Source organism: Homo sapiens, chromosome 6 (assembly GCF_000001405.40).
Source record: "Homo sapiens chromosome 6, GRCh38.p14 Primary Assembly".
NCBI lineage: Eukaryota > Metazoa > Chordata > Mammalia > Primates > Hominidae > Homo > Homo sapiens.
The window spans coordinates 42,489,687-42,516,365 of NC_000006.12; the positions used below are offsets into that span (position 1 = coordinate 42,489,687).

At 39.9% G+C, this 26,679-nt stretch overlaps 1 non-coding gene and 1 pseudogene across 1 annotated transcript, besides 2 other annotated features; one reads left to right on the forward strand and one right to left on the reverse strand.

The window, feature by feature from the left end:
* RPL36AP5 (ribosomal protein L36a pseudogene 5) lies at positions 9,992-10,393 on the forward strand (annotated as a pseudogene).
* Positions 12,776-12,915: an enhancer, noted in NCBI's record as "active region_24555". NCBI's record gives its function as "activates an Ori minimal core promoter by ATAC-STARR-seq in GM12878 lymphoblastoid cells {active_cell/tissue: GM12878}" and the evidence as "EXISTENCE:reporter gene assay evidence [ECO:0000049][PMID:35858748]".
* Positions 15,814-15,920, reverse strand: LOC124901534 (small nucleolar RNA U13). The gene has a single exon (XR_007059965.1). It is a non-coding gene; the product is annotated as a small nucleolar RNA U13 (small nucleolar RNA).
* Positions 17,558-17,677: an enhancer, noted in NCBI's record as "active region_24556". NCBI's record gives its function as "activates an Ori minimal core promoter by ATAC-STARR-seq in GM12878 lymphoblastoid cells {active_cell/tissue: GM12878}" and the evidence as "EXISTENCE:reporter gene assay evidence [ECO:0000049][PMID:35858748]".

Sequence of the window (26,679 nt, forward strand, 5' to 3'; positions counted from 1 at the left end):
GTAATCCTCCCACCTCAGCCACCCCAGTAGCTGAGACTATAGACATGTGCCACCATGCCCAACTAGTTTTTGTATTTTATGCAGAGACGAGGTCTCGCCATCTTGTTCAGGCTGTTCTCAAACTTCTGGACTCAAAGGATTCACCAGCCTCGGCCTCCCAAAATGCTAGGATTATAGGCTTGAGCCAATGTGCCTGGCCTTAACTTGCTATAATTTTTTTATTGAACACAAATAGGCCCACTGACATACAGGACATACAAATGAGAGAGTTTTTAAAAATGCGATCAATGCTAAGTGAAAAAGAAGGTGTGTATGTCTTAGATAGGATGTCTTCTCTTCACTCATCAGGTCATGGATTCTCTCCTGGAAATTCATGTATAGAGGGAAGTGACTTTTTTACATAATAAAGGAACATATTTCCTAAGAAAATATTCCCAAAAGGAGCAAAAGATTGATGAGCTATTGGGTTGAGATCCAATCTATATAAAACCCATATGTAAAATAAGGTCATTCTTCTTTTTTGTACCCAAATAATTATACCCAAATAATTATGGCTCAAGCCCCTAGCACAATACTTCCTATAAATGACCACATAATACTCTGCTCCACGTTCAGGGAAAGTGTTTGAGAAACTCCTCATTGCTCACCATTCTCCTAGACATGACTCTCTTCTGCTGATGGCTATTGCTAACCACCTCCGCTCAGGTTTAAGACACTTTTCCTTCTAACTCTTTGCCCCCTGCCTAGGCCCCCAGTTCTTTCCTGTTTTCTCCCAGCAGCATTGAAACTGAGCTGTAACTTTAATAACAATAACACTTACTGGAGGTTGGGAGCAATGGGCAGGGTGGGCCACTCCCAGAGGAACTTATAGCTACTTCCTAAGCCCATTGTGATGGCCTGCCCACATAAAAGTAGTCCAGGTCTTTCCTTCCTATAAAGAATAGATGTTCCTGCCACCAATGATCCTGACAATAGGTTAATTTTCAGTCAGGATATAAAAATATAAGAAGGGTCTTCAGTGGGAGAGGGAAAGAGGAAATTTTATTTTCCTTCTGGACTGGAAATCAGTTTTTCCAGGATTTGGAAATATAGAAAAACCTAGAATTTAAGCCATCTTGATGTCAACCTGAGAATGAGGCCAACCCATAAATAAATCCAGGGCCAAGAGAAGTTTAGTGAAACAGAGCTGAAGACACTGGATTGGATCAATCTTAAACCTGCCCTACCTCTGGAAATTTAGTGATAAGAGCCAATACATTTCCTTACAGTTTTAGACATTATCTATTTAATCTGTCATATGATAGATGTTTTCAGCTCATTTTTCAATACTTCCTGTACTGCGCCTTTTAGCTTCTCTGTTGGTTGCCTTTATACTACAAATGGCATCCTAATACCTTTATTTTTTGTTCCATCAACTATCTTTTAATGCTTTTTATAAAATGAAGATAATAGCTCCCCAACCAGTCCACTCAGCAATTCTACACCTCACTTTGCACCTTTTGTCTTTTGCATTGTCAAGGTTGATAATTTTTATAATATAACTACATTTTCTAAGCTTTGTCTATTAACTACATTTTCTAAGCTTTGTCTGTAGGTTGGTTATAAACAACTAAAAATTAATGTACAGATATTATTGTGACTATGTGTCTTGGTCACCTCAGCCTCCTATAACAAAATACTATAGATGAGGTGGTTTAAACAACGGGAATTTGAGAAGTCCAAGACTGAGGTGGCAGCAGATTTGGTTCTCACTGAGAGTCATCTTCCTGGCTTACAGATGGCTGTCTTCTTGCTGTATCCTCACATGGCAAAGAAAGCAAGCTCTGGTGTCTCTTTCTCTTCTTATAAGCCATCACGGGTGCTCCACTCTCATGACCTCACCCAAACCTAATTACCTCCCAAAGACTCCACCTCCTAAGGCCATTACATTGGGATTTAGGACTTCAACAGGTGAACTTGGCAGGTGGTTGGGGTAGTCACAAACATTCACTTCATAACACTATGTAAATACTGTTTATTGCAGAAGCAATGATCATAACGGTCACATTTCATTTCTTATTTCTTTCTGTTTTCCTGGGATTTCTTTTTGTTTGTTTGTTTGTTTGTTTGTTTTTGAGACAGAGTCTCTCTCTGTCACCCAGGCTGGAGTGCAGTGGCGTGATCTCAGCTCACTGCAACCTCTGACTCCTGGGTTCAAGCGATTCTCCTGCCTCAGCCTCCCAAGTAGCTGGGATTACAGGCACGCACCACCACGCCCAGCAAATTTTTGTATTTTTAGTAGAGAAGGGGTTTCATCATGTTGGTCAGGCTGGTCTCGAACTCCTGACCTCGTGATCCGCCCTCCTAGGCTTCCCAAAGTGCTGGGATTACAGGCGTGAGCCACCGCACCAGCCTTTCCTGGAATTTCTATCTGCCTTTATTTTTATTCCACACTATTTATAAATGTTTATAAACAATGTAAGAAATTTTTCTATGTCACTATTTGTATTTGTTACGTCGTTATCTTTTCTAAAACTTTTTCTATGCATTTGGTTGTATGCATGTGTGTAAATATATAGTTTTATTTTGTGGTTTTGTTTTACAAAAATGTTACACATTGTACATATGGTTCTTTGACTTGCTTTTTCACTTAACAATATGTCTTGGCGTTCTTTCCACATCTTTTAACTCTTTCCTAAGTACTTGATATGGTTACAATACAGTTTTGTCCATTTGTTTGTTTTTGTTTTTCTAGTTGTGTTAGACCTCAGTGGTATGAATGGATTGAAATGATTTAATTATTCATACTCCTCAGTTATAGCCAGTTTGGGTTTTTGTTCCATTACCCCCACTTTTCTCCCATATGTTTAATTTGTATTTTTTCAACCCACCTGCCACATTTTTCTTACATAACATACAGCATTATTTTGTGAGCTTAAACATTTTACAAAAATGGTGTCATACCATATGTATCTACAACTTGATTTTATCATGCAAATTATGTTTGAGATTCATCTATGTTGATAACTATGTCTAGTTTATTCCTTTTAATTTCTGTGTAGTAATCAATCAAATGACTAGATCACATTTTATCTATTCATTCCTTCATGATGGTTATTTAGGTTGCCTTTTACTATTTGTCATTACAAACAGTGATGCAATGAAAAGTATTGTACATGTCTCTTTGTGTACATGTACAACCCATAGATCATTTAGCCATTTCATGATTGATGGGCAGTTTGTTCTTAAATTTTTACTATTACAGATCTCTATCATGTGAGCATATACATTCTTCTGATATATACTATGCAAGTAGCATTCTTACATAAAAGCTATGCACATTTAAAAATTTCGATATCACTAAATTATTTTTTTAAAAGATTGTATCAATTTAAATTTCCAGCAATTAAACATGGGATATCAACTTTCTGCACATTTGCCTGCATTTGATATAATCAATATAAAATTCTTGTCTACATCACAATTAAGAAATAGTATATCATTGTTGTTAATGCCCCTGGCATTTTCACTTCTGGAGATTTTATATATTCCCCTGCACACTGACAAAACGATGTATGTACAGGGTAATTCATCATTGCATCATTGTAATAGAAAAAGACTGGAAACAACCAAAGTGCCCATCAATAAGGAAATGGTTAAATAAACTGTGCTGTATTCATATAATGGAACACAATACAGCTGTAAAACAAAGCAAAAAAAATTAAGATGCCTTGGCCACTGAGTGGGATGAAGAGAAAGAATTAGGAAGCTTTTTTGTACTGATATGAAGAGCTAAATGATCTATTTTAAGAAACAAAAGGAAGGTACAGAATAGTAACATAATCTTCTACCTTTTATGTAAGCAAGAGGGTAAAATAAGATATATCCTTTTTATTTTTCTTCTTCTTCTTCTTCTTCTTTTTTTCTGGCAGACTCTCACTCTGTCGCCCAAACTGGAGTGCAATGGCACGACCATAGCTCACTGCAGCCTCAACTTCCCCAGCTCAATCGATCCTCCCACCTCAGCCCCCCAAGTAGCTGGGACTACAGGTGTACTAATTAAAAAACATTTTTTTAAGAGACAGGGTCTCGGCTATTTTGCCCAGGCTGGTCTCCAACTCCTGGGCTCAAGTGATCCTCAGGCCTCAGACTCCCAATGTGCTGGGATTACAGGAGTGAGCCACTGCATCTGGCCTAATTTTATTTATTTTATTTATTTATTTTTGAGATGGAGCTTTGCTTTTGTTGCTCAGGCTGGAGTGCAGTGATAAGATCTTGGCTCACTGCAAACTCTGCTACCTCCCAGATTCAAGCGATTCTCCTCCCTCAGCCTCCCGAGTAGCTGGAATTACAGTCGTGTGCCACCACACCCAGCTATGGCCTTACTTTAGGTTTTGTTAAATCAGGATGGGCTACGTTATGTTGCAGTAACAAACACACCAAAATCTCAGCGGTCTAACCGCCTAGATTTTTTTTCTTTCCCCCACAAAATGTCCATCCTGGGCCCACTGGGAACTCCATTCCATAGTTCTAGAATGCGTGTGTGACCTAGTTCTGACTAATGAGATGTGACAAAATATCCCGGGGACTTCTGGGAAAGATTTCCTTACTCTTGAAAAGAGACAAACAGAAGTTGACATCACTTCCGCTTAACATGCTTACATAGGATGCCTGGAACTGTGGGAGCCATCTTGTTTCCTTGGGAGGGGCAAGCTGGAGAGCCACAAACCTCACATTCCTGGAATAGAATAGTACAGGTAAAAATAGAAAGAACCTGGGTTTTTTTTTTTTTTTTTTTTTTTTTTTTTTTTAGACAGAGTGTCGCTCTCGTCACCCAGGCGACAGTGATCTCGGCTCACTGCAAGCTCCGCTTCTCGGGTTCAAGCAATTCTCCTGCCTCAGCCTCCTGAGCCCTGGGACTAGCGCGCCACCACGCCTAGCCTATTTTTGTATTTTTAGTAGAGATGGAGTTTCACCATGTTGGCCAGGCTGGTCTCGAACTCCTGACCTGATACACCCACCTCGGCCACTCAAAGTGCTGGGATTACAAGCGTGAGCCACCGCGCCCAGCCTTGGGTCTTTAATGATGTCAGTAAACCTCTGAATTAACCAACTCTGGACACTCCCTACCTCAGGATTTCTTTGTGTTTTTATTTTATTTCAATAGTTTTGAGGGAACAGGTGGGGTTTGGTTGCATGGAAAAGTTCTGCAGTAGTAATTACTGAGATTTTGGTGCACCCATCACCTGAGCAGTGTATACTGTACCCCATATGTAGTCTTTTACCCCTCATCCCCCTTCCACCCTTCCCCCTGAGTCCCCAAAGTCCATTATATCATTCTCATGCCTTTGCGTTCCTCATAGCTTAGCCCCCACTTATAAGTGAGAACATATGATGTTTGGTTTTTCATTCCTGAGTTACCTCACTTAAAATAATGGTCTCCAACTCCACACAGGTTGCTGTGAATGCCATTATTTCATTCCTTTCTATGGCTGAGTAGTATTCTATGGTATATATATATACCACGTTTTCTTTATTCACTCATTGGTTGATGGGCATTTAGGCTGGTTCCATATTTTTGCAGCTGTGAATTGTGCTGCTGTAAACATGCATGTGCAAGTGTCTTTCTCATATAATGACTTGCTTTCCTCTGGGCAGATACCCAGGAGTGGGATTGCTGGATCGAAGGATGGTTCTACTTTTAGTTCTTTAAGGAATCTCCATACTGTTTTCCAAAGTGGTTGAACTACCCTTTAAACCAGCAGTGTAAAAGTGTTCCCTTTTCACCACATCCATGCCAACATCTGTTATTTTTTGATTTTTTAAAATATGGCCATTCTTGCAAGAGTAAGGTGGTGTTACATTGTGATTTTTATTTATTAGATCAGAAAAAAATCCAAAAGTTGAACAGCTTTAGAAGAGCTAACAGAATATATGGGGAATAATAATGGGGAATATTAATAATAATGGGGAATAATATATGGGGAATAAGGTAATCTCATACATTGCCAGTGGGCCTGAAAGATGGTATAACCATAATAGAAGGGAATTTAATATTTCTGTAATTTACAATGCATTTACCCTTTGACTTGGTTGGTCAAATTTCCAGGTCAAATTTGACCATTGATAATTAGTGATGTTGAACATTTTTTTCATGTTTCTTGGCCATTTGAATATATTCTTTGGGGAATTGTCTATTCACATCTTTTGCCCACTTTTCGATGGGATTATTTGTTTTTTTCTTGCTGATTTGTTTGAGGTCCTTGTAGATCCTGGATATAAGTCCTTTGTTGGATGCATAGTTTGCAAATATTTTCCCCCACTCTGTGGGTTCTCTGTTTTACTCTACTGATTATTTCTTTTGCTGTGCAGAAACTTTTCAGTTTTATTAGGTCCCATCTATTTATCTTTGTTTTTGTTGCATTTGGTTTTGGGTTCTGGGTCATGAACTCTTTGCCTAAGCCAATGTCTAGAAGAGTTTTTCTGATGTTATCTTCTAGAATTTTTATGGTTTCAGGTCTTAGATTTAAGTCTTTTATCCATCTTGAGTTGATTTTTGTATAACGTGAGAGATGAGGATCCAACTTCATTCTTCTGCATGTGGCTAACCAATTATCCCAGCACCATTGTTGAATAGGATGTCTTCTTCCCACTTTATGTTTTTGTTTGCTTTGTCAAAGGTCAGTTGGCTGTAAGTATTTGGCTTTATTTCTGGGTTCTCTATTCTGTTCCATTGGCCTATGTGCCTATTTTCACACCAGTACCATGCTGTTTTGGTGGCTATAGTCTTGTAGTGTAGTTTGAAGTCTGGTAATGTGATGCCTCCAGATTTGTTCTTTTTGCTTAGTCTTGCTTTAGCTATGAGGTCTCTTTTTTGCTTCCATATAATTTTAGGATTGTTTTTTCTAGTTCTGTGAAAAATATTGATGGTATTTTGATGGGAATTGCATCGAATTTGTAGATTGTTTTTGGCAGTATAGTCATTTTCACAATATTGATTCTACCCATCCATGAGCATGGGATGTGTTTTCATTTGTTTGTGTCATCTATGATTTTTCAGCAGCGTTTTATAGTTTTCCTTGTAGAGATCTTTCACCTCCTTGGTTAGGTATATTGCTAAATATTTTATTTTATTTTGCAGTTGTTGTAAAAGGGGTTGAGTTATTGATTTGCTTCTCAGCTTGGTCATTGTTGTATATTGGTGTATAACAGTGTTACTGATTTGTGTACATTTATTTTGTATCCTAAAATTTTGCTGAATTCATTTATCAGCTCTAGGAGCTTTTTGGATTAATCTTTAGGGTTTTCTAGGTATACAATCATATCATTGGCAAACAGTGATAGTTTGACTTCCCCTTTACTGGTTTGGATGCCCTTTATTTCTTTCTCTTGTCTGATTGCTCTGGCTAGGACTTCTAGTACTCTGTTGAACAGAAGTGGTGAAAGTGGGCATCCTTGTCTCATTCCAGTTCTCAGGGGGAATGCTTTCAACTTTTCCCCATTCAGTATAATGTTGGCTGTGGGTTTGTCATAGACAGCTTTTATTACTTTGAGGTATGTTCCTTCTATGCCAATTTTGCTGAGGGTTTTAATCATAAAGGTGCTGGATTTTGTCAACTGCTTTTTCTGCATCTCTTGAGATGATCATAGGGCTTTTGCTTTTAATTCTGTTTATGTGATGCATCACATTTATTAACTTGCATATGTTAAATCATCCCTGCATCCCTAGTATGAAACCCACTCAATCACGGTGTGTTATCTTTTTGATATGCCATTGGATTTGGTTAGCTAGTATTTTTTTTTAGGATGTTTGCATCTATGTTCATTAGGGATATTGGCCTGTGGTTTTCTTTTTTTGTTATGTCCTTTCCCAGTTTTGGTATTAAGGTGATACTGGTTTCATAGAATGATTTAGGGAGGAGTCCCTGTTTCTCTGTCTTTTGGAATAGTTTCAGTAAGATTGGTACCAATTCTTCCTTGAATGCCTGATAGAATTCATCTGTGAATCCATCAGGACCTGGCCTTTTTTTGTTACTGTTGGAAATTTTTAAATTACTGTTTCAATCTCTCTACTTGTTATTGTTCTGTTCAGTTTCTACTTCTTCCTATTTCTATTTAATCCAGGAGGGTTGTATATTTACAGAAATTTATCCATCTTCTCTAAATTTTCCAGTTTGTGTGCATAAAGGTGTTCATAGTAGCCTTGAATGATCTTTTTTTATTTCTGTGGTATTGGTTGTAATATCTCTTGTTTTGTTTCTAACTGAGCTTATTTGGATCTTCTCTCCTTTTCTTGGTTAATCTCACCAATGGTCTATCAATTTTTTTATCTTTTCAAAGAACCAGCTTTTTATTTCTTCTATCTTTTGTATTTTTTGTTTCAATTTCATTTAGTTCTGCTCTGATCTTTGTTATTTATTTTATTCTGCTGGGTTTGGGTTTGGTTTGTTATTGTTTCTCTAGTTCCTTGAGGTCTGACCTTAGATTGTCTATTTGTGCTCTTTTAGACTTTTTGATATAAGCATTTAATGCTATGAACTTTCCTCTTAGCACCACTTTTGCTGTGTCCCAGAGGTTTTGATAAGTTGTGTCACTATTATCTTTCAGTTCAAAGAATTGTTTAATTTCCATCTTGATTTCATTATTGACCCAAAGATCATTCAGGAGCAGATTATTTAATTTCCGTGTATTTGTATAGTTTTGAGGGTTCCTTTTGGAGTTACTTTCCAACTTTATTCTACTGTGTTCTGAGAGGGTACTTGATATAATTTCAATCTTCTTAATTTTATTGAGACTTGTTTTGTGGCTTATGATATTGTCTATCTTGGAGAATTTTCCATGTGCAGTTGTTGGGTAGAATGTTCCGTAAATATCTGTTAAGTTCACTTGTTCTGAGGTATAATTTAAGTCCATTGGTCTTTTGTTGACTTCCTGTCTTGATGACCTGTCTTTGCTGTCAGTGGAGTACTGAAGTCCACCACTTCAGCAGGGTTGTTCTGTCATGAATTGCTGTAACGTCCTGAGCTGGTTGGCCTCCAGCCAGGAGGTGGCACTTTTGAGAGAGCACTAGAGCTTTTGGCCTGTCTCATGGAATTTGCAGCAGCCTGCTGCTGCTTTCAAAGGATCTGTGATTTCTTTCAGTTTTCCTAGTACACTCCTGCGGTGGTTCCTGGAGCAAAAGTCCATGACAGGAGTTTCCATACACTGTTCTGTCCATACAAATGGGAGCTGCACGTCAGCCCTATCTCCTATCCGCCATCTTCCCTCACCAATTTTTTTGACTTCAACAATAAATCATCAGCCTAATGTAGGTGGGCTCTACCACTTACAGCAAGTGCACGTTACTGTTCGGGTAAACCAAACTCAAATCATGGTGGAAGGTAAAAGGGAAGCAAGGCACATCTTCACAGGGCCAGAGAAGAAAGAAGAGAGCCAGAAATTATTATGTGAGATAATAAAATGTATTTATTGTATAAACTATTTCAAATTGGTTTTTCTGTTATTTGTAGATGAAAATATCATTTATAGGTTTCTTATTTATTTTTCTTATTTTATTGCATTGACTAGATCATCCAGTTTGGTGTTGTCTAGCAGCATGAAAGCAAGCATCCTTGTCCCATTCCTGAGGTAATAGGATTACCTCTAAATTCACCACAAAGTATGGTGACAGCCATAGGTTTTTGGTAGGCCCCTTAATTAAGATAGGAAATTTCCCTTCTATAGCAAGCTACTGCAAGTCTTTTAAAAATCTTAACAGGGGTTAAATTTTGTCAATTTTTTTTAGTATTTATTGATATAATCAGATGCTTTAATTTGTGCATGTAGCGAATTATGTAAACTTTCTTTTTGCTTATTACTATTATTATTTTTTTTTTAGAGACTGGGTCTCACTATTTTGCCCAGACTAGTCTTGAACTCCTGGGCTCAAGCAATCCTCGGCCTCCCATAGTGTTGGGATTACAGGCATGAGCCACCTTGAGGGCCCAATGTATTTGTTTATATCAACATTCAGCTTTCTGTGCCAATAATGCTCCTGCAAACATTGTGAGTGTTCCTAAAACTCAGTGGATTTTCTGTAAGAAGTGTGGCAAGCACCAACCCCACAAAGTGACACAGTACAAGAAGGGCAAGAATTGTCTATATGCCCAGGGAAAACAGCCTTATGATGGGAAGCATAGTGGCTATGATGGACAGACTAAGCGGATTTTCCAAAAAAAGGCTAAAACTACAAAGAAGACAGTGCTAAGGCTTGAGCGCGTTGAGCCCAACTGCATATCTAAGAGAATGCTGGCTATTAAGATATGCGAGCATTTTGAACTGGGAGGAGATAAGAAGAAAAGGGGGGCCAAGTGATATAGTTCTGAGTATCATCTTTTGTTTTATTATGAAGACAATCAAATCTTGAGTTTATGTTAAAAAAAAAAAGATTCAGTTAAGATTCATACATGCAATCGAGTGATGTTTTTTAGGTAACTCTTAGTCTGTAATCCTCCCTGACCACACACACAAATACACACTTTCTTTTTTGCTTGGAATATATATTTTGGGTCATTTGTTCTGTAGAATTTCCTGCAGACTGGATTTTGCTGATTATCTTTCTGTGATAGTGTTTAACATGTTCCTCAGTTCCCTGTTTTTTTTTTAATAGAAAGTGGCCAATAAGGGTTTTTTAAAAAAATTATTTCATTTCCATATTCATAAACTTGAGTATATTTGAAGTGTTTTAATCATTGCAATTATCATTTTTATTAATGCATGATTGCTGCATCTTTAGCCAGTAGGAGCCTCTTCAAGTTGTTTCCTAAGTAGTTTTGACACTCTCTGTAGTCTTCAGCTTTCTTGCCTCAGATATGACATGTTGGTCCAGGCTCCTCTTGTATATTTCTTGTCCCAGACCTGGAATCAGCCTTTTTTCAAGTGAACATTGATTTCATGTGTATGTGTGAAACGATGTTTAGAAACTATTATCTAGCTACCAGGGGTGCTGACTACTACTGGGTAGATCCACTTTCTAAACCTTCCTTGAATTCCATTTTATCTGATTTAAATATAATCACACATTTTTTCATTGAAATATCCTTTTCCATCACTTTATTTTCAAACTTCTCAGATGATTTTGTTTTAGATGTGTCTCTTATAATGTTTAAGTTTTCAAACATCCAATCTAAAATTCTCCTTTTATCCATGGGCTTAACCCAATCATATTTAATGTGATATTGAGACATCTGAACTATTCCTCTCATTTTATTTGTCTTTTCTACTTGTCCTGGATTTTTTTAATTTCCTTTTGTCTTTTGCAAAATTGGTGAGTTTTCTTCATCTTATTTTGTCCTTCTCAAAATTTAAAACTTGCACCTGTTACTACTTCTAGTGGTTATCCTAACTTATATGAGTTTTACAATAAATTTTACTGATTTCTTCAATAAGATACTGTTTCGTGTATTTCTCTTCTTCTTGTTTGTTTTGTTTTGTTTTTGTTTTCTGGTTAAGTTCATTCTCTCTTAATTCATTGTGGATGGTAAATTTTCCAGATCCTTGAATATTTATAAATGTATTTTTTTTTTGCATTTACACTTAAATAATAGTTTAGATGGGTATAGAATTCTAGATTTGTGGCTGGGCACAGTGGCTCACGCCCGTAATCCCAGCACTTTGGGAGGTCGAGGTGGGTGGATCACGAGGTCAGGAGATCAAGACCATCCTGGCTAACACGGTGAAACCCCGTCTCTACTAAAAATACAAAAAATTAGGTGGGCGTGGTGGTGGGCGCCTGGAGTCCCAGCTACTTGGGAGGCTGAGGCAGAAGAATGGTGTGAACCCAGGAGGTGGAGCTTTCAGTGAGCCGAGATCACACCACTGCACTCCAGCCTGGGCGACAGAGAGAGACTCCGTCTCAAAAAAAAAAAAAAAAAAAAATAGAATTCTAGGTTTGTAACCATGTTCTCTCAAAATGTTGAAGATGTATTTTATATTGCCTTCTTGTATGCAATGCATTTTTACTGAGAATTCTGATATTAGTCTTTGCAGAAAAAATTTTAAAAATCTTTGGATGCTTTTAGAATTTCTCCTTACACTTGTTCTAAAATTTCACTGTGTGTATCTAAGTGTAGTCATTTCTATTCATCCTACTCAGTTTTCAACCTGAAGATTTGTGCTTTTATTCAACTCTGGAAATTTTTCTTTTAATATGTTTTTAATTTTTCCTCTCTCTCATATTTTCTGCTTTTATTTTCTTCTGGAATGTGAATTGATAGATTTGGGAGCTTCTGGTTCTACCCTCCATGTTTCTAAACATTTCTTTCATAATTTTTCTCTGTCCTGTTATACTACATTCTGGGAGAATCCCTCAGCTATTGTTTCCAGCTCAATAAACAGCTCTTCATTTGTATTCATTTTACCATTTCCCTCTCTTCTGAATACTTTTCACTTCCAAGATCTCTATTTGATACTTTTTCATAATTTCCTCCTTGTCTTATGGATTCAATTGTCTTTTATCCCTGTGATGAAAGGTTCATTATACTTCTCTTAAAATCCCCTTCTGTGAGTTCTATGATCTGTTTCTCAGGTACTAGTCATTTGTTTCATTTTGTTCTTCTCTTTTACGATGTGTTAGTAATTCTTGGCTCTGTGCACATCTTTTCCTTTGAGATTCTCTGTTGCCCCAACTATGGGAGCTATTTATTGCAGCCTTCTTCCAGCAACTGTAGAGGAAGATGATGGGGATGGGCCTATATGTAGCCTTCTGAGTCTGAAGAGACTGTTTCTTCTGGGTGTCAGCAGCCTACTAAGACATTGCCTAGGGACATAAGGATTTCCCCTCACTTCTGAGAGCAGAGATACCTCTGCTAGCCACTGCATGCACAAAGTAGAAAGTGGGAAGGGGCAGAAGTATCAGGCTTCTCCTACCCAAGTGTACAGTACTGGGTTAAAAATAGTAACCCTGCACAATTCATGTTCACCCAGAATCTTATTTGGAAATAGTGTCTTTACACAGAGACTTGGTGTCTGTGTCCAAATCACTATCTCTGTCTTCCCAGTGGGGAGAAGACCATGTGAAGACAGAGATTAGAGTGATGCATGCACAAGCCAAGCCATGCCAGAGACTGACAGTAACCACCTGAAACTAGAGCCTTCAGAGAGAGCAGGTGCCTGCTGACACCTTGATTTTGGACTTCCAGCCTTCAAAACTATAAGAGAATAAATATCTATTGTTTAAGCGTCCCAGTTTGTGGTACTTTGTGATGGATGCCCAAGGAAACTGATACACCAAGTAATCCTACCAATCACTCTTGCCCCACTCTCCACCCCATTTTTCATCTTTCCAATTTTTAACTGTAAGATTCTCAAGTTCATGATAATGTAGAAGCCTTTTCCATCTCTCTTGTAGGTGACAATAACAAATTGACCCGATATCACCCCCTACTTTTAGCCAAGAGAAAGAAATTTACCACAAGACAGTCTTTCCTACTTGGTGTACTTGCAGTTGAAACTCAGTGTTCCCTCCTAGACATCAGGTCATTGTGATTCAACTCTTTGAGTCTCAGTTGATTCATCTAGAAAATAAGAATGATAATACTACCTCCTACCCAACAGAATTATCATGAAGATCCATAAAGATGAGTGTCTTCGTCCATTTTCTATTGCCCTTTTTTTTTTTTTGTCTCGCTCTGTCAGCCAGGCTAGAGTGCAGTAATGCCATCTCAGCTCACTGCAACTTCCCCCTTCTGGGTTCAAGCAATTCTCGTGGCTCAGTCACCTGAGTATCTGGGATTACAGGCATGTGCCACCATGCCCAGCTAATTTTTGTATTTTTAGTAAGGAGGTTGTTTGCCAGGCTGGTCTCAAACTCCTGGCCACAAGTGATCCACTCACCTTGACCTCCCAAAGGGCTGGAATTATAGGCGTGAGCTACCGTGCCCAGCCCATTTTCTGTTGGTTATAACAGAATACCTGAATCTGGGTAATTTATAAAGAAAAAAAAATATTTCTTATAGTTATGGAGGCTGAGAAGTCCAAGGTCAAGGGGCCACATCTGGTGAGGGCCTTCTTGCTGGTGAGGACTCTGCAGAGCCCCAAGGTGGCATAGGGCATCACATGGCGAGGGGGCTGAGCATGCTAGTTCAGGTCTCTCTTCCTCTTCTAATAAAGCCACCAGTCCTACTCCCAGGATAGCCCGTTAATCCATTAACCCACCGATCAACTAATCCCTTCATGAGAGCAGAGACCTCATAACCCAGTCACCTCTTAAAGACCCCCTCCTCAATATTGCCATGTTGTGGATTAAATTCCAACAAAGTTTTGGAGGAAATAAATATTCCAACCATAGCAATAAGTTTGGTAAAGCCTCTTGCAACAGAGCCTGACGCAGAGTTGGGGCATTATATTTTCCTTATGCTAAGTGCCACTAAGATAATATTAGCAACTATGACACATATAGAAAGTAATACATGTCATCACAACTTTTGCACCGGTTATCCAATTCTGTGAAGATACCTTAAGAAAATAACATAAACTACTGAAACTTTACGCTTGAAAAATGTTCACCATAGTAATCCTTTAAAAAAGACACTGGCAGTAACCTGAATAGCCAACAATGGGGGAGTGATTACATAAATCTGCATTTTCCAATGTATATATATTTTTTACTATGCAAATGTTCTTTATCAATTCATATATATAAATATACTTATAAAACTTGTAGTATTTTAAAATATTTTATAATTTCGTTTTCTTTTTATTTAACAGACACATATAATGCTTATTATGTACCAGGCACTGTTCTAGGCATTGTTACAGGCACTTCAAAAATATTTAGAATATTACACTTATAAATATTAGCTCATTGATATATGTTTTACAATTTTTTGTAAAATTGTTTATGTTTAAAAAAGTATTACAATTCTACAAAAAATATTAATTTAATATAATCCAATAATATTCATGTTATTAAGACAAAATTCAACTTTCTGTTTAACATGACACATACTTTAAATCAATTATGTAAGACAAAATATAATTTGTGATTTACATTTCGAAATGGAATTGTTTATTATGGTTAGTTTAGGGACCAAGCCTATATTCAGTATAGATTAAAAGTAACTACATGCAGCTGGGCGAGGTGGCTCATGCCTGTAATCCCAACACTTTGGGAGGCTAAGGTGGGTGGATCACCTGAGGTCAGGAGTTCAAGACCAGCCTGGCTAACATGGTGAAATCTCGTTTCTACTAAAAATACAAAAATGGCCGGGCGCTGTGGCTCACCCCTGTAATCCCAGCTCTTTGGGAGGCCGAGGTGGGTGGATCACGAGGTCAGGAGATGGAGACCATCCCGGCCAACATGGTGAAACCCCACCTCCACTAAAAAAAAAAAAAAAACATAAAAATTAGCCGGGAGTGGTGGCGGGCGCCTGTAGTCCCAGCTATTCCGGAGGCTGAGGCAGGAGAATGGCGTGAACCCGGGAGGTGGAGCTTGCAGTGAGCCGAGATCGCGCCACTGCACTCCAGCCTGGGCGACAGAGCGAGACTCCGTCTAAAAAAAAAAAAAAAAAAAAAAAATTAGCTGGGCGTGGTAGCACACGCCTGTAACCCCAGCTTCTCTCGAGGCTGAGGCATAAGAATCACTTGAACTCAGGAGGCAGAGGTTGCAGTGAGCCAAGATCAAACCACTGCACTACAGCCTGGGCAACAAAGTAAGACTCTGTCTCTAAAATAAAATAAAAGTAACTACATGCTATGGCAGTCAAATGGACAAAAGCTATTGTGATTGCCTAGTGTTTAGAATTTTTGCATTTTAGCTTAAAATATCAACTTTTTTAAATTAAAAATTTCTTTTCACATCAGATGAGTAATGTGCTGATGTCATAACAAGGAAGTTTGAAGGAGTCACATCTCACATATTAGCATGAAAACCCAATCATCACCCTTATGAATCACAAACGGATCTCAACTGTTTTATTTTTGGACATTTTATGTTTTGTTTCAAAACAAAGAGATGAGAGATTTCAGGCTGTCATTTGCAAACAATTTTCTACAAGTACATTTGGAAATGGAATTGGGGTATGGATAATCATTATTCCCAGTAAATGAATTGTTCCTTGCTATAGTTTGAATGTGTCCCCTAAATTTCTTTCTTTTTTTTTTTTTTTTTTTTTTTTGAGACACGTCTCACTCTGCCATCCAGGCTGGAGTGCAGTGGTGCAATCTCAGCTCACTGCAACCTCCACCCTCCCGAGTTCAAGCAATTCTCCTGCCTCAGACTCCTGAGTAGCTGGGATTACAGGCACCCACCACTATGCCCGGCTAATTTTTGTATTTTTAGTAGAGATGGGGTTTCACCATGTTGGCCAGGCTGGTCTCAAACTCCTGACCTCAGGTGATCCACCCATCTCGACCTCCCAAAGTGCTGGGATTACAGGCGTGAGCCACCGCACCTGGCCAGCATAATGTTTTTAAGGTTCATCCATGTTATAGCATGAGTCCGTGTGGAATTTATAACAGTCCAATAGACTTCTTAGGTGTTAGTCCCCAGTGTGTTGTGCTGAGCGGGGTATGGACTGAGGCACTGGCTTATCATCTCCACTAACCCTGTGTGTATCCACGTGACACACATCCAGAGGCTCTCATGCTGCTCAGCTTTAAAGGGGCAATGTTTCAAATTAAAAACTGAGCTACTTTTTATTTTTTGAAATTAAAACAAATGCCATTGCTGTCTTTGACAATGTGACCCCCCCCTGGAAAGATGTTCATGAATCCTCTAGAGAATCACGAGCACCTTATGGGACCCCCATGAGGTGGACCTTTTTGCAGCCATTAGATGTGATGCTCATGAAGACAAAATCTACGAGAAAAATGTTTATGATCTAATGTCACAGGGGAAAGTGTAATACAAGGTCATAGTATGCTATGAAAATTAGAGGAAGACCATTTAAAACTGCGTAAAGACACTTCTGATGAGAAGACAGAAAGGGAATGTACAAAATAATAACAATACCATGCTGGATGGTAGAACCATGGGTACATTTTTTTCCCTCCTGAACTTTCCAAAGATCTGTAATGTGCTTATATTACTTTCATAATTTAAACAATGATCACTGGCCTTGAGCAGCTTTTTGCTCAAGTCAACCTTGGTTCAAGCCATCACAAAAGTACATGCAGACCCTCATGTATCAATAGATAGGAATCTTTAAGTTAAATGATTGGAAAATTACACAGGAACCACTTTCTAATGTTCACTTTGGAAAGATAACTGCCATTGGCTTGCCTTTTAGAAGACAGCTTCTTTTAATGAGGCCCTTTTTGTACTTCATTAATCCACCCCCAACGGCCTTTAATTAGACCAAATTCTGTTTCCCACACACTTCTTTAAACAAAAGAACAGTACATTCATGTAATGTACCAGGCCACCTATTTAGCCCACCTGTTTTAATGTGTTGGGAAGGACATCGGCTTGGTTGTTCAGGAGGTCTGAGGTCTAACCGTAGCTGTGTGGACTCTGGCAAGTGAAACTCCCTTCTGAACTTTTTTCTTTCTCATCTGTTCCATGTGAATGGGAGTCCTGACTTCTATGGAGCTCTAAGTGAGAAGGAAATTCTCAGCTCCTTAAATGATCTCTGTATTTCTCATAAGTAGACATACTCAGGCTGAAAAGCAGGAAAGTAGAAGTGTGATCAAAAGGCTGGAAAGCAGGAAAGGGAAGTGTGATCAAAAAGGGTTCACATGAAAATAAGCAAGACAGGAGAGAAAGCACCGGAGGGTGAACCTCAGGAGACCTGAATTCTACTCCCAGCTCTGCCACTGGTCACTGGCAATCCTGAGTTAGTCATTTCCCTTCTTTAGGGCTCAGTTTCTTCTTCTGTGAAATTAGGTGACAGGTCCTAAGGCCCCTCCGGTCACAAATTCTATATATATATATATTTTTTTTTTTTTGAGATGGAGTTTCACTCTTATTGCCCAGGCTGGAGTGCAATGGCGCGATCTCAGTTCACCACAGCCTCCACCTCCTAGGTTCAAGCGATTCTCCTGTCTCAGCCTCCCGAGTAGCTGCGATTACAGGCATGTGCCACCACGCCCGGCTAATTTTGTATTTTTAGTAGAGGCGGGGTTTTTCCATGTTGATCAGGCTGGTCGTGAACTCCCGACATCAGGTGATCTGTCCACCTTGGCCTCCCAAAGTGCTGGGATTATAGGCATGAGCTACTGCGCCCGCCCCCCTCCCTCCTGTCACAAATTCTATTAATATGTGATGCTATATCACAGGACAAGGATTGCCTATTTAGCCTCACTTGGTTCTTACAGGACCTCTTTGTTATTCAAAGGACTCAGCAAAATGTTGACTTTTTAATCTTTTAATTCATTCTCCCGTCATCTGTGAAGTAAATCAGAGGAGAAAATCCAGATCAACATTCCCATTTAAGCCAGTTTCTTGAGGCTGATACTTAACAAACAATAAACTGATGAATCATGAGATGGCCTTGGAAAATATTAGACACTTAAATCTTCTCAACATTTTTCAGGAAATAGGCTGTAAATGGGGGAAGAAAAAAATGTAAATGTGTTCAAGATGGGGAATTGTCTTAAATAAAAATAACTACATTTTATTTTTAAATTAAAAAAAAAAATACTTCCCCTGCAAGAACACTTAGGATGAGAACAAAAATACTATTAGGGTTTTTTTTCTTTAGAACTCACAGCCAACTCTTGCTAAACAGAGCATTTTGGAAAATTTGCATCATGGCTGCAGATTCAGGCAAGGAGGGTGGTTGGGATGGGTGACTTTTCCAGCCACTTTCCCAGTTACTTGGTTTCCCTGATGGTGACACTCTGCTGTAAAACCAAATGCCACAATCATCAGGGGAAGGTGTGGGGTAAAAGCATGGAGGTGGCAACGTTTATCTTCCGGCTCAGTACCTGGTTGTCTCCTGCAGTGGCAACTCCTCTAAAAAGGTGCCCACTAAGGCCAGGCGCAGTGGCTCACGCCTGTAATCCCAGCACTTTGGGAGGCCGAGGCAGGCGGATCATGAAGTCAGGAGATCAAGACCATCCTGGCCAACATGGTGAAACCTCGTCTCTACTAAAAAAAAAAATACAAAAAATTAGCCGGGCGTGGTGGCAGGCGCCTGTAGTCCCAGCTACTTGGGGGGCTGAGGCAGGAGAATATTGTGAACCCGGGAGGTGGGCTTGCAGTGAGCCGAGATCGTGCCACTGCACTCCAGCCTAGGCAACAGAGCAAGACTCTGTCTCAAAAAAAAAAAAAAAAAAAAAAGGTGCCCACTACACCCATAATCCTTTTTGTTTCTTTCTTTTTTTCCACACAGTCAAAGCTTTTTCCCAGGACAAAACTTCTAAGTGTATTGTTCAGATCTATAAGTGATCGAGCATGTCCTACATGGCGTTATATGTTCCCTATGTTGATAAGCTTCTACAGGATTCAAAGGCAGAATTTTCCAGCTACAGTTACAGTCACCAGCCTGGGTTGAGATAGCATGGGGATGTGAGAGGAAGGGGTGTTTCTAGGGTCTATCCATCAGGGTTCAGTTGCAGAAACCACTAGGGCTAACTTAAACAAATGATTCCTTGACAAGAGAAATAGGTACTTAAAAAATTGTTTGAGGGGCTGTAGGAAGAGCCCTACGGTGACCTTCCAAGAATGACTCCCCAGAACAAGATGGCAGAAGTGGCCCATAAGGGAGCTGCTTCTTCTGTCACTACAATAAGTTGGAGAATCAGGAAATACCAGAAATACTAGGATCACATCGTTCCTGACACCCACAAAGCTAAGAACCAGACACTGGGACTCTTCCCACTTCTGTCACAGAACTCCATTTATCTCCACACATGTGCATGCCAGGAGAATGACAGAGAATAGCAGAACTGTGGCCCCCACCTTATATCTGTCTTCCAAACTCCCAAGTGAGTTTCCTTGATGGACTCAGAACTCAGCTCTAAAGGAGTCTAGGAAATTAATAGTCTTTCTCTTTTTATCTGAAGCATTTAGCAAGGCATATTAGCGGAAAAATTACCCCCACTTGTTTCTGCCCTGGAATCCTATAAAAGTTGATCAACCTTGGGAACATATAACCCATTGTAGGGTATTCTCAACCACTTATAGCTCAGAACAATGCATTTCAAAGTTTTGCTGGGAGTCGGAATGGAGCTGAGTGGGCCTATCTGTAATATTTGTCATGGAGTGGGGAAAAACACAATTCCCCCTAGGCCCCTTAAGGTTCACTATGATACACCAAAGCCAGCCCTGAACATCATCATGTGTATAAGAAGAATCTATGCAAAGTGTAAGACCTTCTGGTGGGGGAGGACTCTGAGTACAGAATATAAATCACTCTTGGCTTCCCAGAGCTTACGCTGACTCATTTGAGAAACAGAAAAAGTGACTGGCAGGCCAACATATACATACACATGCATATAATATACATATATGCACACACATATATATGAAACTTTTGAAAAAAATGCACTAGGGAATTTATTATTTGCATATTTAAAAAATCTACCTTAGATAGCATCAGTATGTAGAGGCTAGGGACATGTTCAATTCCAACATTTATTGAGGGCTGACTGAGTACCAACTGAGGGCTAGATACATCCATGCGGGCTTTTCCATTTAGTCTTCATAATATGTGAATGTAGAATTCCAGAAGCATGAGATAGCTAGACACATAGATATCCTTGGATATATAAAACAGTTATTAGATTTCCCTGGCTGGAAAATTTAGGGATAGAAACTGAGTATGTGTGTAGATGATGCATTTATCTTTATTGAGAAAGTGAGCATTGAGAGGAAGGTGCACTCATTTAGAGAAGATGTCGGATTTCCAAAATCAGACATGTGGGGAATAAATATGTGTAGCTCACATGGCATTGCACTGCTGATGATCATCTTAACTATAATTTAAAGGTTAGATTATAATTTAATGGTGTTATGAATGAAGTGTTATGACCTCGGCATACTGCCTGGTTGATGTGTGCCTGTATATGCACACTTGTGTGTCTTGGGGAGGGGGACGTTCTGTTTCAGAAGTCACCAAAAAGAAAGTTATTCTTCTACTTAAGAGGAAGCAGTAAAACACTAACCCACTGACACAACACATCACAAAACACAGAACACAGAAGTAGCTGGTCAGAACTCTCATATTCAAAGGCAGATCTTCCATCTCCAGCAGCCAAAGACTTAAGCCATGTTCCGGGTAAAGTAACAAGAGGAAGGTGTTTTTCGGAACCATCCTGAGGAAATCAAAGGCTTTTGGGGGGCAACTGAATGGGTAAGGATTCTGTATTTATAGGTAGAATGTGTCCAAGATGGATGGAGGAAGACCTCCTGATTTGGGAGGTAAGTCTTGCCACCAGGTGGCACACACTATTGTCTTTCTTGTTCTTTTTTATTTCTTTAATTTTCTATATTGATAGTAATAATAATAATGGTATCTATTGAGTTTTGTTTTTGTTTTTGTTTTTGTTTGAGACAGAGTCTTGCTCTGTCACCCAGGCTGGAGAGCAGTGGTGTGATCTCAGCTCCCTGCAACCTCTGCCTGCTGGATTTAAGCAATTCTCCTGCCTCAGCCTCCTGAGTAGCTGGGATTACAGGCACATGCCACCACACCCAGCTAATTTTTGTATTTTTAGTAGAGACAGGGTTTCGCCATTTTGGCCATGCTGGTCTTGAACTCCTGACCTCGGGTGATCCACCTGCCTCTGCCTCCTAAAGTGCTGGGCTTATAGGCGTGAGCCACCGCTCCTGGCTACTGAGTTCTTATATATGTGTTTGGTATTTACTACCTCATTTAATAGGCATGTCATTGTTCTCATTTTACAGACAAGAGAAGGACACTTAAAGAGTTTACCAAAGCCATAGAAAAAATAACCATGGACTCCAGGATTTAAACCCAGGTCTGTCCCCAGAGCCTGAGCTTTTAACCACCATTGAGGTCCTAGCATCAGGACCGAGTCAACGAAACTACTGTGGAAGTAGGCCCAGTTCTAGCACAAATGCAGAGAAGATGTGGAATAAAGTATAATCCAAATAAATCTCCAGGTGCTAGGAATGAAGAGAACCATCAAAGGCAGAGCAGCTAGCTGAGCTGATGTCATAGTAGCCCAGAAGAATATGGATCTGGAGTTAGGGCCGGGGGCTAATACCTGTGAGAGGACAGGAGGAAGGCAGCGAGCCCTGCATAAAATTGAAGGCCTTGAGCTGGCATGGTGGCACATGCCTGTAGTCCTAGCCACTTGGGAGGCTGAAGCAGGAGGACCGCTTGAGCCCAGGGGTTTGAGGCCAGTCTGGGCAACATAGTGAGACTCCGTATCTTAAAATAAATAAATAAATAAATAAATAAATAAATAAGGCCTTGTGGCACTCTTCCCCCCTTAAATGGAGATAGAAAAACTGGACATGGGCCCTGGGAATCAGCCAGGAAGCTCACCATTTGTTTAAGGTCTGGAACATGAGGGGGAAAATGTCATCCAGAGAAACCTAAACCCTGGGCCTATGCCATGTGCATAGGAGTGAGGGCCATTGACACACTCAGCATTCTGGCAGAAGCAAATGTGTGAATCATCTCCGCGGAGAAAATGTTACTACTCAAGAGTTTCAAGGATTCCCATTGGGAGAAACAACCTGCTGAAGACAAGTTCACAATAAAAAATTACAAACACCCTACTATGCTGGTGAGAGTCAAATCCTGTCTAAGATTTAAAGAGTGAAAAATAGGTTGGACTGGAAAAAGAAAGAAAAGAAAAAGCAACTGTCAATTCAAGCCAGAAAGAAGACAGACATAAAGAAAGCCAGCTGCAAAGTTCACAGGAACATTGCTTCCCCCAAAGTCAGTCGGCAGCTGTAAAATGCCATAAAGACCCCCTCTTTGAACGTTGACTGCTTTCCTACCAAACTCCCAGACAGCTTTGCCATACCCACCTATTGCTGGTTAGCCCATTGCTGAGCTACTGCTGCCTCATGGCAGCACCCAATACCTACTTAATCCCCACTTCTCTTAACTGACCCCACCCCCAACCAGAGTAGGAGCAACCAATCCAGAACTGATGCCTACTTCCCTTAGAATCTTCAGAATCCTTCAGCAGCTTCCTGTCTTCCCTCTTTGGAGCGACACTCCACATTTCCCCCGGAGTGGCCTCCCTTGCTGGACTGAGTTAATAACTAATTTGGTCAGACTACAGACTGGCTCCTGATGCTCCGTGGTGATTAGATTTTTATCAGTAGAGAGTTAGCATATGCAACAAACAGAAAAATTGGCACTTAACCAAAAGTCAATAGAGAATCTAGAGGATGCTATAAATAATAAGTTGACTTTAAATGATTAAAGAAATGATGGTGATAATGATAATGATAGCAAACATATAATGCTGTTCTAAGGGCTTCACAAAATATTAACTCATTCAATCCTCACAAAGTTCCTGTGAAGTAGGTACTATTGCTTTCTCTCTTTTACAGATGAGATATTAGGAAATTTGCTCATGGTTACCACAAGCTATTAGAGTGGCAGAGCTGAGATTTGAACCCACGCAGTTTAGTTCCAGAGCATATGCAACTAATCACTATAAATTAAAAAGCAACAGGACACTATTAAATAAAAGTAGGCCAATTTGAAGGAAGAACCAAATCAAACTTCCAGAAATGAAAAATAGAGTCACTCATTCATTCATTCGTCAAATATTTATTGAGCTCATATAATGTGCCAGACACACAGAGGCTCTGAGGATATTGCAGTGAACAAACCAGACAAAAATCCTTGTCCTAGTAGAGTTTACTTCTTTTTTTTTGGGGATGGTGTCTCGCTCTGTCACCCAGGCTGGAGTGCAATGGCACAATCTCGGCTCACTGCAACCTCCGCCTCCCAGGTTCAAGCGATTCTCCTGCCTCAGCTTCCTGAGTAGCTGGGATTACAGACGTGTGCCACCACACCCGGCTAATTTTTGTATTTTTAGTAGAGACGGGGTTTTGCCATTTTGGCCAGGCTAGCCTCAAACTCCTGACCTCAGGTAATCTGCCTGCCTCGGCCTCCCAAAGTGCTGGGATTACAGGCATGAGCCACCATGCCTGGCAGAGTTTACATTTTAATGAAGAAGACACAATAAATATAATGCGTAGCATGTTAGGTAGGGCTAAGTGCTACACAGAAAAAATAAAGTAGGGAAGGGGGATATGAAACATCAAAAAGGGGGTTAAGGCCATGTGTGGCGATGCGCACCTGTAGTCTCAGCTACTGGGGAGGCTGAGGTGGGAGGATCACTTGAGCCTGGGAGGTCGAGGCTGCAGGTGCCACTGCACTCCAGCACTCCAGCCCGGGTGACAGAGTGAGACCCTGTCTCAAAAAAAAAAAAAGAAAAAAGAAAACAGAGGAGACGGGGCGGTTGAAATTTTAGATAGGGCGTCTGAGAAAGCCTCACTGAGAAAGTGATTTTTATTCCACTCCTGAAAAAGTGAGAGAGCAAGCCAAATTGGTATATGGGGAAGAACTTTTCAGGCAGAGGAAGCAGCCAGAACAAAGGGCCTGAGTGGGGAACCTGCCTGGTGTTTTTAAGTCACAGCAAGGAGCCTTGCTTGCTGTGTGGATAGAAGTAGAGTGTGTGTGTGTGTGTGTGTGTGTGTGTGTGTGAGAGAGCGAGAGAGAAAGTAATGGGAGATGAGTTCATGACATAACAGGGGGCCAAATCATGCAGGGGCTTGCAGGCCACACTGAAGACTTTGGTTTTACTCCAATGACAAGGGAGCCACTGGTGGGTTCTGAGCAGAGGGACATAAGGATCTGACTAAATTTCACAGCATCACTCTGGCAGCCATATTGAGAATAAAGTGTAGGTAGACCAGCCAGGAGACTACTGCAATAATCCAGGCAAGAAATGATGGTGACTTGGACCAGATCTATTTTTAGGTAAAACCCATAAGATTTCCAGTATTTGCAGTGTTAGACAAAGAGGAGTTAAAGGTTTTTAAACTGAGCATCTGTAATATCTGAGTACCACCTGTAATCTCATTAACTGAGATAGGAAAAATGGCAGGGTTTGGGAATGAAGATCAGGAGCTCCATACTTCCAAGTGGAGATATCTCCTAGCCAGCTAGGTATAGGGGTCTGGAGTTTAGGGGGGAAATCTGAACTAAAGACATAAATTTGAAAATTATCAGCATGTCTGTGGTATTTGAAGTCATAAGACTCATGACTTCATCTGGAAAGTGGTTGAGATTGTAAAAAAGAGAAGAGGTCCAAGGACTGAGCCCTGGGGATTTCATCATTAGGAAGTAAGGAAGATGAAGAGGAACCAGCAAATGAGACTGAAACAGAACACCCAGAAATACAGGAAGAAAACCAGGTGACAATGGTGTCTTCAAAGCCAGATGAAGGAAGTTATTAAGGTGTAAAAGCCAATAGATGGGTTAAACAGAAAATTAGGCCCAGATGAAGACAAAATTAGTAAATTCAAAGTTAGAAGACAACGGAAAATTTAAAAAGAGTGATTAAGAGAAATGGAGGAAAAAGAGATTCAACATGCATTTAGTGAGCATCCCTGCAGAAAAGAAGAGGGAATATGAAAAAAGCAATCTTTAAAGAGGAGAATATCTAAGAATTTTCTATAATAAAATTTAAAAAGATGTGAGTGTTGTCGGCTGGTGGGTTGGTTTCCCTGGGAAGTAGACTGGGACACAGATTAGCACACAGGAGGCTTATCAGGGAGTGCTCTTGGGATCAGCACCAGTGTCGGGGGTGGAAGCAGGACTGGGCAGAGGGAGAGGGTGAGTTATGATGGAGTCTCAACTAAGACTTCAGCCACCTCATGAAAAGAATGACCTGGTTTGCCCAGGACTTGGAAGTTTCCTAGGATGTGGAAATTTCAATGCTAAAGCCAGGATAGTCTCTGGCAAACTAGGATGAGTTGATCATCCTACCACGGGGAACTCTGAGACGAACATGGAACTTTAGAATTGTCCACCATGGGGATGAGAAGACTGGTTCTTTGTAGTCCTGCATCAACCAATCACTGGATGCAGCCTGTCTCCAGGAAGTAGTGTGACCCTGTGAGTAAAGCAGCACTATTCAGCCGAGAGCAATTCCTGTAGAGGACTGACATTTCTGACATTTGAGCATTGTCTTCTAGAAGCAGCCCCAGCTCCCAGTACCCAGCATCTGGAGGATTAGGTCCTTTGGTCTGGAAGAGAGATTTGGGTAGTGCAGGATTACATCTGCCATAATGAGTCTTTCTTTTGACAGTTCTCAAAAGAAGATGTACAAATGGCCAAAAAACATATGAAAAAATACTGAACATCACTAATTATCAGGGAAATGCAAATCAAAGCCACAGTGTGATACCACCTTACTCCTACAAGAATGGCTATAATTTAAAAAATTAAAAAATAATAGATGTTGGCATGGATGTGGTGAAAAGGGAACGCTTTTACACTGCTGGTGGGAAAGTAAACTAGTTCAACCACTATGGAAAACAGTATGGAGTTTCCTTAAAGGACTAAAAGTAGATCTACCTTTTGATCCAGAAATCTCACTACTGGGTATCTACCCGGAGGAAAATACATCATTATATGAAAAAGACACTTGTACAAACGTTTATAGCAGCACAATTTGCAATTGCAAAAATATGGAACCAGCCCAAATGCCCACCTATCAACAAGCAAATAAAGAAAATGTTAAATATATATATATAATGTATGTATGTATACACGC